At 39.2% G+C, this 15,487-nt stretch overlaps 1 protein-coding gene, 1 long non-coding RNA gene and 1 pseudogene across 12 annotated transcripts in view; 2 read left to right on the top strand and 1 right to left on the bottom strand.

Moving 5' to 3' along the window:
• DLGAP1 (DLG associated protein 1) overlaps positions 1 to 15,487 on the top strand; it is a 959,276-nt gene that overhangs the window by 476,226 nt on the left and 467,563 nt on the right. The window lies entirely within an intron of this gene.
• Positions 1 to 15,487, bottom strand: part of DLGAP1-AS4 (DLGAP1 antisense RNA 4) — a 51,591-nt gene that overhangs the window by 34,862 nt on the left and 1,242 nt on the right. The window lies entirely within an intron of this gene.
• GAPDHP66 (glyceraldehyde-3-phosphate dehydrogenase pseudogene 66) lies at positions 396 to 1,625 on the top strand (annotated as a pseudogene).

The raw sequence follows: 15,487 nt of genomic DNA, 5'->3' as shown, positions 1-15,487 counted from the left end.
TGCAAATGACAGCATTTTCTTCTTTTTATGGCTTTGTAGTGTTCCATTGTTTATATATACCACATTTTATTTATTCATTTATCTGTTGATGGACAGATAGGTATGTCTTTATTACTCAATGTGGTCATTTCACCAGAGAGGTGGATTTACCTACGTACACTTTCCACGTACTCTTCATTTAATTCTTCCTCTAAAACCTCACTAATACTGTTCCCCCTCCTCTGCCTCTGTCCATCAAGATCTGTCCTATACAACATAGTAAATTCCAAGTGGAAGAAGTTAAGTGTGCAACGTCAACCCATAAAAAAACTAGGGGGAAAATTGAATCGCCTTCGAAAGTTCTAGAGTGGGAAGAGCTTTGGAACAATAGAAGAAACCATAAAAGTAAGAATCAGGCTCTCTGCTCCTCCCATTTGACAGACAGCTACATATTCTTATGCAGAACCAGCCATGTCCCTGAGACACCATGGTGAAGGTGAAGGCCAGAGTAAACGAACTTGGTCGTGTTGGGCACCTGGTCACCGGAACTGCTTTTCACTCTGGTAAAGTGGATATTGTCACCATCGGTTACCCGTTCATTGACCTCAACGACATGGTCTGCATGTCCCAGTATGATTCCACCCATGGCTAATTCCACAGCACTGTCAAGACTGAGAATGGGAAGCTTGTCATCAATGGAAACTGCATCACTCATCATCCAAGGCGAGATCCCACGAAAATTAAATGAGATGATGCTGGCACTGAGTACGTTGTGGAGTCCACTGGTGTCTTCATGACCATGGAGAAGGCTGAGGCTCACTTGCAGGGGGTACCAAAAGGGTCATCACCTCTGCCCCCTCTGCTGATGGGCATGAACGATGAGAAGTATGAAAACAGCCTCAAGATCATCGGCAACGCCTCCTGTGCCACCAAGGGCTTTGCCCCCCACCAGCCAAGGTCATCCATGACAACTTTGGAATCGTGGAAGGACTCATGGCCATGGTCCACGCCATTACTGCCACCCAGAAAACTGTGGATGGCCCCTCCAAGAAACTGGCATGACAGCCACGGGGCTCTCCAGAACATCATCCCTGCATCTACTGGTGCTACCAAGGCTGTAGGCAAAGTCATCCTGGAGCTGAATAGAAAGCTTACTGGCATGGCCTTCCTTGTCTCCACCACCAACGTGTTGGTCATGGACCTGACCTGCCAGATATGATGACATCAGGAAGGTGGTGAAGCAGGCATCAGAGGGGACCCTTGAGGGCATCCTGGGCTACACTGAGCACCAGGTTGTCGCCTCTGACTTTAACAGCATCACCCACTCTTCCACCTTCAAAGCTGGGGTGGGCATTGCCCTCAACAACCACTTTGTCAAGCTTATTTCCTGGTATGAGAATGAATTTGGCTACAGCAACAGGGTAGTAGACCTTATGGTCCACATGGCCTCCAAAGGCAGCAGCTAGCTGGACACCAGCCCCAGCGAGAGCACAAGAGGAAGAGAGAGGGGGAGTCCCTGCCGCACTCAGTCCTCCACAACACTGAGACTCTCCCCTCCTCACAGTTTCCATGCAGACCCCCTGAAGAGGGTGAGACCTAGGGGAGCCCTACCTCATTGTGTACATCAATAAAGTCCCCTGTACTCAGCAAAAAAAAAAAAAAAAAAAACACAGAATAAACATAATTCATTAACTGACATTTCAGCATTTTAGTACAGTTTAAAAATAATAAGGCCGGGCAAAGTGACTCACACCTGTAATCCCAGCACTTTGAGAGGCCAAGGCAGGCAGATCACTGGAGCTCAGGAGTTCGATACCAGCCTGGGCAACATGGGAAAACCCCGTCTCTACTAAAAATACAAAAATTAGCTGGGAGTGGTGGCACATGCCTGTGGTCCCAGCTACTTGGGAGCCTGAGGCAGAATTGCTTGAGCCTGGGAGGCAGAGGTTGCAGTGAGCCGAGATGGCACCACTGCACTCTAGCCTGGGCGACAGAGTGAGACTCTGTCTTAAAAATGAATAAAAATAAATAAATAAAATGAGAAGAATCAATCAAAGCTATTAACAAATCAGCAGAAATTCTGTCAAGACAATTTTTTAAAGAGATTGTATAGCTACTAAAGAATCGTATTGAAACCTGTTAACAATTTAACCTTACCTGTAATCTAAGAGAAATGCAAATCTAAATCATGAGATATATTTTTTCTATTAAATTAACAGATTTAAAAAATGATATGACCTAATCTTTGATGAGGGCATGATGAGAATAGTACCTTTATAACTTGCTGATAACGTTATAATTTAATACAGAGTTTTTGAAAATCAATTTGTCTTGTATATTAAATGCTAAAAATAGATTCATGCCTTTAACTCCATGATTTCATTACAGGACATTCTCCTAAGAAAATAATGTAAAAAGTCATAAATACAAAGTTATAAGTACAAATAATTTAACCTCAAATTATTTTCCAAATCAAAAAGAAATGAACAGAGTAATTTTCTCTTGACATAGGTATAGATTTAAAAATTACAAAGACTGCCCAGTAACATGAAGAAAATTAATACTATATAAAAATATGCAGGGAACAGAGAACACCAGAAGAAAACATAGCAGTGGTAAGCTAGGGTGCTGAGAATTATGGGTGATGTTTATTTCATTTTTTCTATTCTCTATATTTTCCTTAATGCATTTGTTATTATGGTAATATGTATAACATAAAATTCACCCTTTTAACCACTTTTTTTTGAGACAGAGTTTTGCTCTTGTTGCCCAGGCTGGAGTGCAGTGCAACCTCTGCCTCCCGGGTTCAAGCGATTCTCCTTCCTCAGCCTCCCAAAGAGCTGGGATTACAGGCATGCACCACCACACCTGGCTAATTATCGTTATTATTATTATTATTATTATTATTATTGTATTTTTAGTAGAGACGGGTTTCTCCATGTTGGTCAGGCTGGTCTCAAACTCCCGACCTTAGGTGATCCAACCACCTCAGCCTCTCAAAGTGCTGGGATTACAGGCATGAGCCACTGCCCTCGGCCTTAACCACTTTTTAAGTGTACAGTTTAGTGGCATTAAGTATTTCACATTGTTGTACAACCGTCACCACCATCCATCTCCAGAACCTGTTCGTCTTCCCAAGTGGAAACTCTGCACCCCTTAAACACTGACTTCCCATTCCCTCTCCCCCAGGCCATGGTAACCACTATTCTACTTTCTGACTCTATGAATTTGATTTCTCTAGGTACCTCATGTAAATTAAATTATACAATATTTGTGTTTTTGTGACTGGCTTATTTCACTTTGCACAATGTCTTTGAGGTTCATCCATGTCGTAGGATGTGTCAGAATTTCCTGGCTTTTTAAGGCTAAATAATATTCTATTCTATATGTACATCACATTTTGTATCCATTCATTCTTCTTAGGGCACTTGGGTTGCTTCACTTTTTGGCTACTGTAAATAATGCTGCCATGAGCATGGGTGTACCAATATCTGTTTGAGTCCCTAGTTTCTATTTTTTGCAGTATATACCCATAGTGGGATTGCTGGATCATACGGTAATTCTGTGTTTAATTTTTTTAACAACCACCAAGCCATTTTCCACAGTGAGTGCGTTCAAGGGTTCCAATTTCTCCACATCTTTGCCAACACTCACTTTCTGTTTCTTTCAATAATAACCATCCTAACAGGTGTGAAGCGGTATCTCACTGTGGTTTTGATTTGCGTTGCCCTAATGATTAGTGATGTTGAACATCTTTTCATGTATTGATGGGCCACTTGCATATCCTGTTTGGAGAAAGGTCCATTCAATTTCCTTGCCCATTTTTGATGGGGATGTTTGTTTTGTTAGTGAGTTGTATGAAGTGTTTGTTTTGCATATGTATTTATATATATAATTTTTATTTTTAATTGTAATTAAAAAACACATAAAAGTAACCATCCTTACTTTCTTTGAGTGTACAGTTCAATAGTGTTAAGTACCTTCACATTGTGGTGCAACAGATCTCCAGAAATCTTCATCTTGCAAAACTGAAACTCTGTACCCATTAAATAACAACTCCCCATTTATTTCCCCTTGCCCAGCCCCTGGCAATCACCATTCCACTTTCTGTGTCTACGAATTTGACTACTTTAGTTACCTCATATAAGTAGAATCATACAGGATTTGCCTTTTTGAGACTGATTAATTTTTATTTTTATTTTTTTTTTATGTCCTCAAGGTTTATCCATGTTGTACTATATGACAGGATTTCCTACCTATGTAAGACTGAATAATATTCCATGCTATGTATTGCTTTTATATTTTTTATTTATAAATTGTAAAATACTACTCATCGGTGTGAGTCTTATACTGTCCTCTTCCCTGTTTCAATCACCTAAAACCTCCTTTTTATGTTAGGTCTTTTGACATTGAATGTTTTCAATGTCATACTCCCATTTACCTGATTAATAATAAGTTCTTTATGTTTCACTTTTAACCAAAGCAGGAACACCAGGGCAATTAGTCCAGTAAAGAAGAAAAGCAAACAGTGGCCATGCTGAGAGTGAAGCAAACCCATGATATATTCATGGAAAAGCTGGACTTTTTCTCTCCTCAGAAAGTGAGATCTTTTTGTGTGAAGAACTATTGAAATCTGAAGCTTCCCTTAGGAAGTTAAAAGTTCTTTTGAAAATATTTAAAAGCCCTGAATTAAAAGATCTTAATACAGTCACACATGCAATACAACTACATTTAGGTCACGGATGAATTGCCTGTAGGACGGTGGTCCCATAAGATTATAATAATGTGTTTTCGAGATCAGGAGATTGAGACTATCCTGGCCAACATGGTGAAACCCAGTCTCTACTAAAATACAAAAAAATTAGCCAGGTGTCGTGGTGGGCACCTGTGATCCCAGCTACTCGGGAGGCTGAGGCAGGGGACTCACTTGAACCCAGGAGGCGGAGGTTGCAGTGAGCCGAGATTGCGCCACTGCACTCCAGCCTGGCGAGGGAGTGAGACTCCTTCTCAAAAAAAAAAAAAATAAAAAGTGTCTTTACTGTGCCTTTTCTATGTTTAGATAGGTTAGATACACAAATACTTCCCACGGTGTTACAATTGCCTACAGTATTCAGGACAGTCACGTGCTGTGCAGATCTGTAGCCTAGGAGCGATGGGCTCTAGCATATAGCCTGAGAGTGTGGTAGGCTATGCCGTCTAGGTCCATCTAAGTCCACTCTGCATTCACACAAGGACAACAGCAGCACATGTTCTCAGAACATATCCTCATTGTTCAACTGTGCATGACTCTACAGTATTATCTTCTCCTGTGTTTTCCTTGTGAACCCTCAGCTGGTTAACATGGATCCCGAGCCCTGGGCCTTCCCCGGAACTTTCTAGCCTAGATTTAGTTTGTCAGGTTTCAGAAAGAATAAAATTATCTAAAATTGAGGGAAAAAAATTGGCAGGCAATTTGGAAAAGACTCTCAGTTGGCCTGCCAACAACACTGGCAGAAGAAATGTAGTCGAGTTAGAATCCTTCCAGCATGTTCCCTAGGGGATGCTCACACAGGAACCACAGGTGAAATAGGGAAGTCCCTGGCTCCTAAAGCCTAAGCAGGAACCATATACTCCACCACTCCCCTCCTGAAGTGAAATTGAGTCCCAAACCAGGAGTAACAGGAGCACAAAGGTGACGGAGCTCATACAAACTGAGATGAATTGCAGCTTCCAGGACGGAAATGACTAGTAGCTTATTATTTGTCATTGGCTCCAGATAAATCTTACAACCTGATTAAAAGCAAATGTATTGACTTTTTTTTTTTTTTTTTTTGGCTATGGCTATTCTGACTATTCTCTTTTACTGAAAATGGTTTTTTTCTAATTAGATAGCAGCAGCCTGAAGGTAGGACCATCTTAGTTTCTGTGTTCCTTATAGAATCTAGGAAATTATTTTGTACATTGTAAGTATTCAATAAAGATTGGATTACTCAACTTGAATAAAAACAAGCAGATGATAATACCTTAATAGTCCCAGAATTAAGTTTCTTTGGACAGTGATTTGTTGATATTTTTAAATTAGCTATTAGACACAACACCCTGCAGCAAAAAGGCTTTGCTTACTTGAGCTCACGCTTGTTATCCTTTTGGAGTCTGAAGCCTAATTAATGTAGAATAGAGCCTCTTTTAGAATAAAAGTCCTCTGCCCTATGGGCTTATTCTTTGGGTCTCTAAACACAGATTGGGGAACAGAAAAGAAAGTCTTTTGGCTTCAGGCTAGGGATAGGCACCTCCCCGCCCATCTGCCTCTCAGTGTTGCTGGCCAGGGCAGGGGGAGCTAGTGTGATTTGCCCAAACCTCCCTCCCTGAGGTGTCATGTTGCTGTGATGGTGTCACAGGAGTCTCAGGAAAGCTGAGAGCTCAACATAACAAAGTTCCTACGTGGACAGTGGTGCTCAATAGTTGCTTCTTAAAAAATAGATTAGTTAGGACTATCGGATGCCAGGGACTGAATCTAGTCACTTAATAATCAGGTTCCCACAGATCTACTTATCTATATCCCAAACACTGTATAATTCTAAAACTATGAGAAAGAAAGAAAGAGAGAGAGAGAGAGTGTGTGTGTGTGTGACTCAACTGCCTCAAACACACCAAGGAAACATGTTTGAATATAAATAACTGAAGACAGAAAAGACAGAATGAATCAACCAGAGGACTAGGGAGAGTTATATATAAACTGATATAGATAGATATAATTTTTTAAAATTATTTTTAAATAGAGACGGAATTTTGCCATGTTGCCCAGGCTGGTCTCGAACTCCGGGCTTCAAGTGATCCTCCAACCTTGGCCTCCAGAAATGCTGGGATAACAGGCATGAGCCACCATGCCCGGCCTAGTGATATAATTTTTTTTTATATAGGCCTTGAGGTGTTGTATTTTTTATAAGAGGTATTATATAGTTTATAAACTCATAAAAAATTTAAAAACAAGGTAAACTGTAATATTTTAATTGAAAACACTTCTTTAGTTATATCCTTGAAAACTGAAACCTTACACATTACAGGATTGTTATCTTGTTAGTTGGACACCGTTAAATGACCAAAGCTATTCATGGTCTCCTGATGAGAACCCAAGTAAAGAGTCTTCCCTTAGTTAATTCACAGGATCCTCCCTTACTCAACTGGACCAGCACTTTACAGTTGCATAAAACCCTGGTTTTGAGTTTTTCTTGTCCCTCAATATTCACTAAGGCTGTCATGAAAATTATTATGCTTATTAAAATAAAACTCCATGGATTGCTTAATGAAAGATACTTAAGAATTTGCCAGGTTTAAGTTTTATTGCTATTTAGAGAACAAGATTTTCTAAACCTATTGCCCTGTGACTCTTCAAAACCATCAGCCAGGAATTCTTTTTGGATACACTGATATTTCTCTATGTTATCCTTAGTACAGCTTAGCTTACCAAAGGATAGATGGACAAAAGAGTCTTAAAAGTTAAGTCTTGGAACAATATAAAATGCAGTCTGCAAACACTTGGGGGTGCATCATACCAGTCAATTACACATACCAATACTTTTTTAGAAAAAACAAAAGAATAGAATAGGCAAAATACATTGGACTTATTTACAAAACATGTTTCAGGTATACATGCACACATATGTGATATTATGTCATATATATGTTAGCATACATTTTATAAATGTCTTATGTATGTATTTCCCTGTATATATACTGGTTAGGATGTAAAATTTGTTACCATCGGTAGCAGTCAAAAAAAATGTTAAGCCACTGATTTAGAGGACTTAATTCTAAACTAATGGAAAGCAGTTAGCATGAAAAGAACTCCTACCTCTGAAAAGAAATAATAGAAACTACCATCACAAACTGGTCAACAATTTACTGCAAAGTTCTTGCCAGAGGCCAGAGTCTGGTTCATTCTCTAGGTCAATGCTACAGACTGAAAGCTGGGTGGAGAAAAGCGACCTTGAGGTTGTGCTGTAGCTACCGAAAGAAGGCAGGCAGAGGGAGCTGTTCTTTGGTTGCAATAACCTGGAATAGATGTGGGGTGCTAGAGGGGGACAGATGTGAAACTGGAAGGTGGTTCCAGCTGTCTCAATGCTTGATTAGGCCTTAAATCTCTATTCCAGCATTTCCCACTTCTGGAAATAAATGCATACCTAGCCCAGAGACAAGGGTGGAAGCAGACCTCATAGGCCCAGGATGCAGGGCTCCTATGGGGACCTCAGAACTAGGGCAGGGGCTTATATTTTATTCTTGAATCCCAGTTGATATTAAAGTGGATTTCAGTTCAATTAGGGGGAAGAAACCCTTTTGCTTCCAGATTTTTAATGTTAATATTAATGTCAAGATATCTCTAATATGATTTAGTAATAACATATCCTTCATTCTAAATTTAGTACCTGTTTGAGAATTAATTGATTAAAAACTAAGAGTGAAACTGTATTACTATTTTGCAGTCTAATATGGGGCAAGATGTTTATCTTCTTTGTTTCTCTTTATTTTTTAGATTTTCTAGAAGATGTACTTCTTGATGAGGCCAACATTTCTCTCTCATGTCCCACACATTTCTATTATATATTTGCTGTAATTTGTAGCACTCACATTTGTTGTAAAATCGCTTTTGACAGTGTATTTGAGTTAAAGTACAAAGGTTCATTACCAAAGCTCTCTTTCTTTGGAGAGCTTTTTATTATTAGTGCTACAAAATTGATCCTAATGGCTTCAATAAGAATACTGGGATGAAATTGTTTTATTTTCTTTTCCTTTGTTTCTAGTTGTCATATTGTCATGGAACTCCGAGGTTTGAAAATATGCAAAGAATTCATCTCATTTATTCTCTATGAGATTTAAAACTAAAACTCTGATTATTTAGCCAAAATAAAATTCAATAAAATCATATTTTTATATGAAAGAAGAGAATGATGACAAGGGAAATTGCAGGAGTACAATGGTAGTCAACTCATCTTAAATTTTGCATTTTCATTTTTGTAATACGTTTGCTTCATGTTGCTCTGGAAAACTGTGTTCTGTTGCTTTACCTACAAAGACAAACATTAATCAAACTTACCACTAGTATTAAGCACTGATTAAACACCCACATCGTAACACAACAAATCTGCTGACTTCTGTTCGTGTGCTTTCCATCTTAACACACAGACACAGACAGGACTGATAGTCTTAAGAAGGCCCTTTATCAGAAGTATTTAATCCTAGAGTCTTTTCCTTTACATATTCTATTCAAGAAAGGCCCTTTACGTGAAACACATTAAAAAATTATATAAGGATCATCGCTGGCTAGAGCCTCCTTAACTGCAAGCTGACAGACATAGAATAGTTGGCAGAAGGAAGCTGGCACTCTTATTAAGGGCCTAATTTTGATTTTGCATAATCTGTGGATAGTCACTACTAAAATAAAATACTGAAGAGCTGCATCTGTGCTAATTTCTTTGGTAGGATTTTTTTTAAGAATAGACCGAAATCGTGAAACTGCTATAACTTGGGCCACAGTTTTTCTGCAAGGACAGGTACTTCTACTTTTTTCTGGATCTCTTTTACAAATAAGGTCTTAAACCACTGTCTTTCTGTGTATATCTATTTTGTTTCGAGAACAAGCACCCTTTTCTCTTTAATATTCTTTTCCTACGGCTAGAATGGGTCAGCGGTGTAATACACTCAGTCAACGCCTAATTGAGTAAAATGTGACAGAACGTTTTGCAAAAACCAGTGGTAACCGTAGGAGACCTCACTGTTTTTCTCTGCCACTTAGTCTTCAAGAAGGAATGACTAAAAGTTGTATTTCTTTTCAGATGACAATTATTGGTGTGTTGATTGACTACATGATCATTAGTGAGATTTCTAGTATATTGTTTTTAATAGAATTGCTGTAAAATTTGGCAGATGGAAGTTCGCATAGTTTGACCTGGAAAGTTGAACTACTTCAATCTTCAAATTTTTCCTTGTAAACTCTTTCATAGTAGCAAAATAATCATAATTTTCTTTGAATATTGTTAAGGAAAATAGTATTTCTCTTTCAGAATATACATCCTATGTCCCCAGTGCTGTTCATTCATTAGTTAACTTCTTTCCTTTGTTGTCTCGCTGGTCTCTTGCCACCTGCAAAATGTCTTTTAAAAGAAAGTTGGAGAAAGAATGCCGTGTCATTTTTCTTCAAAAGAAATCAATAGTTTTGTTTGTTACCAGGTCCTCTTAATTATATTTCTCTTCTTGTTGCTAATTATTTTGATTATTAGTTCCACATAGCTGGGCAGGGACAAGGAAGAAAAAAATAAACCTCCCTTGCATGGTATTACTTATTAGCTGTTCCAATAAAAGTTTGATTGGGTATGATGATTCACAGTTTTCAGGAAAGGCATTTTCTTTGAATTTCAATTACCTCCACTTGTTCTAAATAATATTTGCACAAATAATTGAATATTGGTTTGAAATCAGCCTCCAAATATTACTGTGTTCTCTCTAAAACTTCATCAAACTGTGATCTGTCTTTTGAAAGCCAGGAATACAAATATAAAGATGTTAACTATTTAAAACTTCCGTGATGGTCTGTTTGGGTAAAGAGATTGCACAAAATATGTTTTTCAGTAACTTTCTGTGTTTTCAAGTTTTTTTTAAGGTGTATAGTTAGCCATTTTATTCAGCAGGTCTTAGTTGAGTGCCTGCCATGAGCTAATGACACACTGATTAATAGGGATAGAAAGGGAACAAGATAGACAAGTGCTAGAAATTTTACTGCATAAAATAAAAAGTGGAGATCAATAGCTGCGTAAAAATGATGTGAAATTGGGGTAAGATCTAGCGTTGCCTTTTAAGATGAAAGAGTATCTTAGCATATTTAAATATTAAAGGAAAGATACTAAGGGTCAGTGAAGGATTTAAGATACAGGAGAAAGAAGTGGGGCAGGGTGAGGTCCCAGTAAATTTATGCTCAGATTAGAGCAGTTATGTCTCCTTCATCTAAACATGATCAAAAGCAGAAAGATGTGATAGAGCTAGTTACATATTCTGGATTAGTGTCAGGAAGTTTTTCCAATAACTTATTTTATCTGTGAAGAGTAAGCAGTAAGATGATTTATTGGTAGTGATAAGCAAATGGACAAATGAAATGTTCAAAACAGCCACAAGGAGAATGTGAAGGAGTCCTAAGAAGGGAAGTATGGCTTGCCTCTCGGTGTTAGGTGTCCAGTGCAGCTGAGAGGCACACATTTATCCTATATGTGTGTGTGGGGATCAATCTGCATAGTTGGGTGATTTTCTCAGAAGCCCTTAACAGTTATACTTAGTTGTGGAAATACATAAACTCGAATTTTTAAAAATAGCTCCACATAGTCTGAAGCCAAAAGTAGAGTCAAATGCTCTTTAAGACAAAATAACCAAGTATGGGCTTCAGAAATGAAACAGAGAGTGATCAATACTACCATTACATCTGTTTTACACTTTCTCTTTAGAGACTATAATGTTTAAATGGAGCTTAAATGACAGCTCTGCAGAGGACAGCCTGCTCTCCTCCTTACCAGTGGTTCTCAAATTTCAGCCGGCATCAGTCACCTGCAGGGATTGTTAAAACTCAGGTTCCTGGGCCTCAACCCCAGAGTCTGGGATTCAGTAGGTCTGGGGTGAAGCCCTAGAATTTGCATTTTTAATGAGTTCCCAGGTTCTGCAGAGTCTGTTGATCGCAGTACCACATCTTGAGAATCACTGTTCTAAATAAAACTCTGCAATGCCAGGACAAATATCTGCAAAGGTTAAAGTCACTGTGAGCTCATCAGTTCATAATCTATTTCTCATTCCTTGCTGATTCGCTCAGTGCCTACCACAGTGCCTGGCAGTGCCTGGCTGGAGCCCAGCGACTGTTTTGAGGAAGAAAGATAAGTTAGTATTTATGGAATGCCCTCTACAATGTGGTAGGCACATTCCCTCCACCAATGTAGACAGGCACTGCCATATTTACACAGACATATTAAAATAAGATTAGTCACTCAGCAGTTTGAGCCAGTGGACTAGTCCTTCCTTTTTAAACTACTCTCTTCTCCAGGTTCTGGACTACCTCACCTCCTGGTTTCCCTTCTGCTTCACTGGCCACTTCTCTTAGAAAACCTGGCTTTCTCCTCCTCCTCCTCCTCTCTTGGACCTCAGAACATTGAATGCCCCAAGCAGCTCTTTTCCTGATGACCTTCTCCTCTATTCCTAGATGATCTCATTTAGTCCCAAGGTTTCAGATAACATCAACATGCTGATGTCATCCAAATCTGTTATCTCTAGCTCAGACGTCCCCTCTCACCTCATACTCGTTAATCCAGCTGCCAACTCGGCCTCTCCACTTGAATATCTAATAAACATCTCCAATGTAACAGGTCCAAAACAAAATCCTCACTTACCTCAAGCCTACTTCTGTCCCGTCTTTCCTGCCTCAGTAGATATCATCCCCATATATCAGTTGCTTAAGCCAAAAACTTAAGCATTGTCTTGGATTTCTTTTTTGTGCTATCTTTCCAAAACCCCTTTGATCAGTTTTGGCTCCCAAACAGTTTCTAGTCCGATTTTTTTTAGTATCTCATCTTCTGCAACCAGAGATTTTCTCATCCCCTAATCCATGGCAATAGCTTCATAATTCATTCCTCAGTTCCCACTCTTACCTCCAATGGTTCATTCTCCACTGAGCAGCTGGAGTGATTTTGTGGTAGGGTGAATTAGATCATAACAGTTCCGTGGTTAAAACCTGCTAAAGCCTTCCCCCCAACAAATAGAACCAAATCCAAACTTCTTAAGGCAAATAGAGCACTACTTCTCCATCCTCATCTCCTACTACTTCCCCACCCACCAAGCCCTGTGAAACTCCAGCCACCCTGGCCCCCTTTCTCCTTCTTGAACATAACAAGCTTCTCCAGCCTCTGAGCTTTCACCCTTTCTAGCTGCTGTTCCCTGTAGTGCTCCCCTCCAACCGCATTAGCGAATGTGGTTTCTACCACCCTATCATTCTGTGTCCCATTTTTATTTTTTTCAGGGCACTTATTATTTAAAATTATTCATATGGTTGTTTACTTAAGTATTTGTCTGTATCTGACAACTACATTGTTAACTCCAAGCAGGCAGGCAGAGATTTTGTCTTCTTAATAGCTGTACTCTATTTTTTTTTTTTTTTTTTGACATGGAGTCTTACCCGGTCGCCCAGTGCAGTGGTAGGATCTCGGCTCACGGCAACCTCCGCCTCCCGGGTTCAAGCAATTCTCCTGCCTCAGCCTCCTGAGTAGCTGGGATTACAGGTGCATGCCATCACGCCTGGATAATTTTTGTATTTTTAGTAGAGATGGGGTTTCGCCATGTTAGCCAGGCTTGTCTCGAACTCCTGACCTCAGGTAATCAGCCCACCTCGGCCTCCCAAAATGCTGGGATTACAGATGTGAGTCACCGTGCCTGGCCTGTACTCTATTATTTAGAACAGTACTTGCAGGGTAGTAGACACACACACAAGCATGTTTGTTGAGTGGAGGAACTTTAAATCTATTGTTCTTTCTACAACACTATATTGATGCCTCTTTAGGTATTATGTTATGATTTGATCACAACCTACTCCAGTATCTAGATAATGGGTTGTTCCAATCAGTGACAAATTCATACATTTAAATCTGTTCTTAAATCCCAAAAGCCAAAATTTCCAAAAACAGATGGCTTGAGCTGCTAAGCCTTTGTCTTTATGTTGTTCTTAAGATTTATTTTGGATCCACCACCATAGATTATGGTTTTAAGTCAACCTTGTCTGGCTACTTATTTTTTGCAAAACATTAGAAACTCAGTCAAGTCTTTCATTCAGGTCCTCCAGAATATCCTTCACTTTAACTTAAGAATTAGTCCAAGTGCCCATATTGACATTTTGACAGTGATTCTAGGCTTTGTGGTGTTGTTCAGTGTTTTGTGTTACAAATGTAGGCCACAGAAAAGAAATAAAGTGAATCCATGCCTCTATTTGTTTACAAAGATCTCTTTGTTTACAAAGAGATCTTTTCACCTTTGAAATTCTATCACTATAGCCTTAAAAACAACAGGAATCACCCTCTGGCCAGGTGGTTAGGATTTGAAATGTCTTTGTATTCTTTTTTAAATTGGAGTTCACGTAAATTTGGTGACATTTCCTACTGTGGCTAAGTCTCTTAGTAGAATCTTTTATAAGCATGCAAGAGTAAGAGCAAGATTTGTTCATCCCAATCAAAACCAAAGTGAGACTCCCTTGTTCCCAGGGCAAACTCTCTTTGTCCACAGTTTGCACTTTCTCCTTCTCCTGTTTTTGTGCCACCTCTTAAAAACCCTTGATTGATAACATGCTTCGCTGGTTAAAGCACACCTGGTATTCTAGTAACTCCTGAAACACTAAGTGGCTACCATGTATCATTGCTATGTTAGGCCTTCGTGTATAGAAGTTTATCAAGGTTCTTCTTGCTGATACCCCCTTTTCCTTCAAGGCTCTTCCTCATCAGCCCACTCTTCAGTAGCGGTGCTCCTGGGGATTTCATCCACTGCAGCGACAACTCCTAGCGAAGATTCCCATCTCGTATCTCCAGCCTTATGCCCTTTTCCCAGCATTGCTCACTCTGTCATCTATTTATTGAACATGTGGACAGTCCAGGAACATCTCAAACACTGCAAATGCAAAACCAAACTCGTTGTCTTCTCACCACCTCTGCCGTATTCACGCAGACTCTTTTCTCCTTCTACAGCTTCCCAGTTCACATCATTAACAGGACAACTATTGGCCCATTTTCCCAAGGTGGAAACATTGAATTTTTTCCTGGGCCTTTTTCTGCCTTTCCACTAATGATAAATAGATCCCTAAATCACATAAATTCTGCCAAAGAAATTTACCTCTGGTGTTCTTCCTGTCTGCACTGCCCCTTTTTTAAAGAGTGTAAATTATCTTACACTTTTGTGTTTTATGCTGAGATTTGAGAATAAATAGGGAGTGTGTATACATATCCAGCTCATCATCTTAACCCACTCCTCCTAATTTTATCTTAGGAATGACGCCTCCTGCAGTGTAGAACAATAGAAATATAACCCAAGCCACGTATACGATTTTAAATTTTCCAGTAGCAACATTATAGAAATAAAAAGAAAGAAATGAAATGAACTTTAATGCTATGTTTAAGCCAATGCATCCAAAATATTAAAATTTCAAACTTTAATTGGTATTTACATTATTCTTAAGGGCTTTACCTTCCTTTTTCTTTGTACAAAGTCTTCGAAATCTAGGGCTCAATGGTCACATGTGGCCAGTGGCTGTCACAGCAGATAGCCTAGGTGTTGGACGTGAGCTGAAGGGGCTTACACTAGAGATCCCATAGAAGATACACCTACAGCCTTGGTGAGGGACAAGGGCATATATCAAGGTACTTGCAATGGAAACAAAGAATCAATCCATAATCACACTGAAAATATGAAGCAGAGAACCAGAAGGCAAATGTAATCCAATTAAGTATAAAATTGCACTAAAAAAAAA

The sequence above is a fragment of the Homo sapiens genome, chromosome 18 (assembly GCF_000001405.40).
Source record: "Homo sapiens chromosome 18, GRCh38.p14 Primary Assembly".
In the NCBI taxonomy this organism is placed as follows: domain Eukaryota; kingdom Metazoa; phylum Chordata; class Mammalia; order Primates; family Hominidae; genus Homo; species Homo sapiens.
This window is presented reverse-complemented; position numbering and strand designations above follow the sequence as displayed.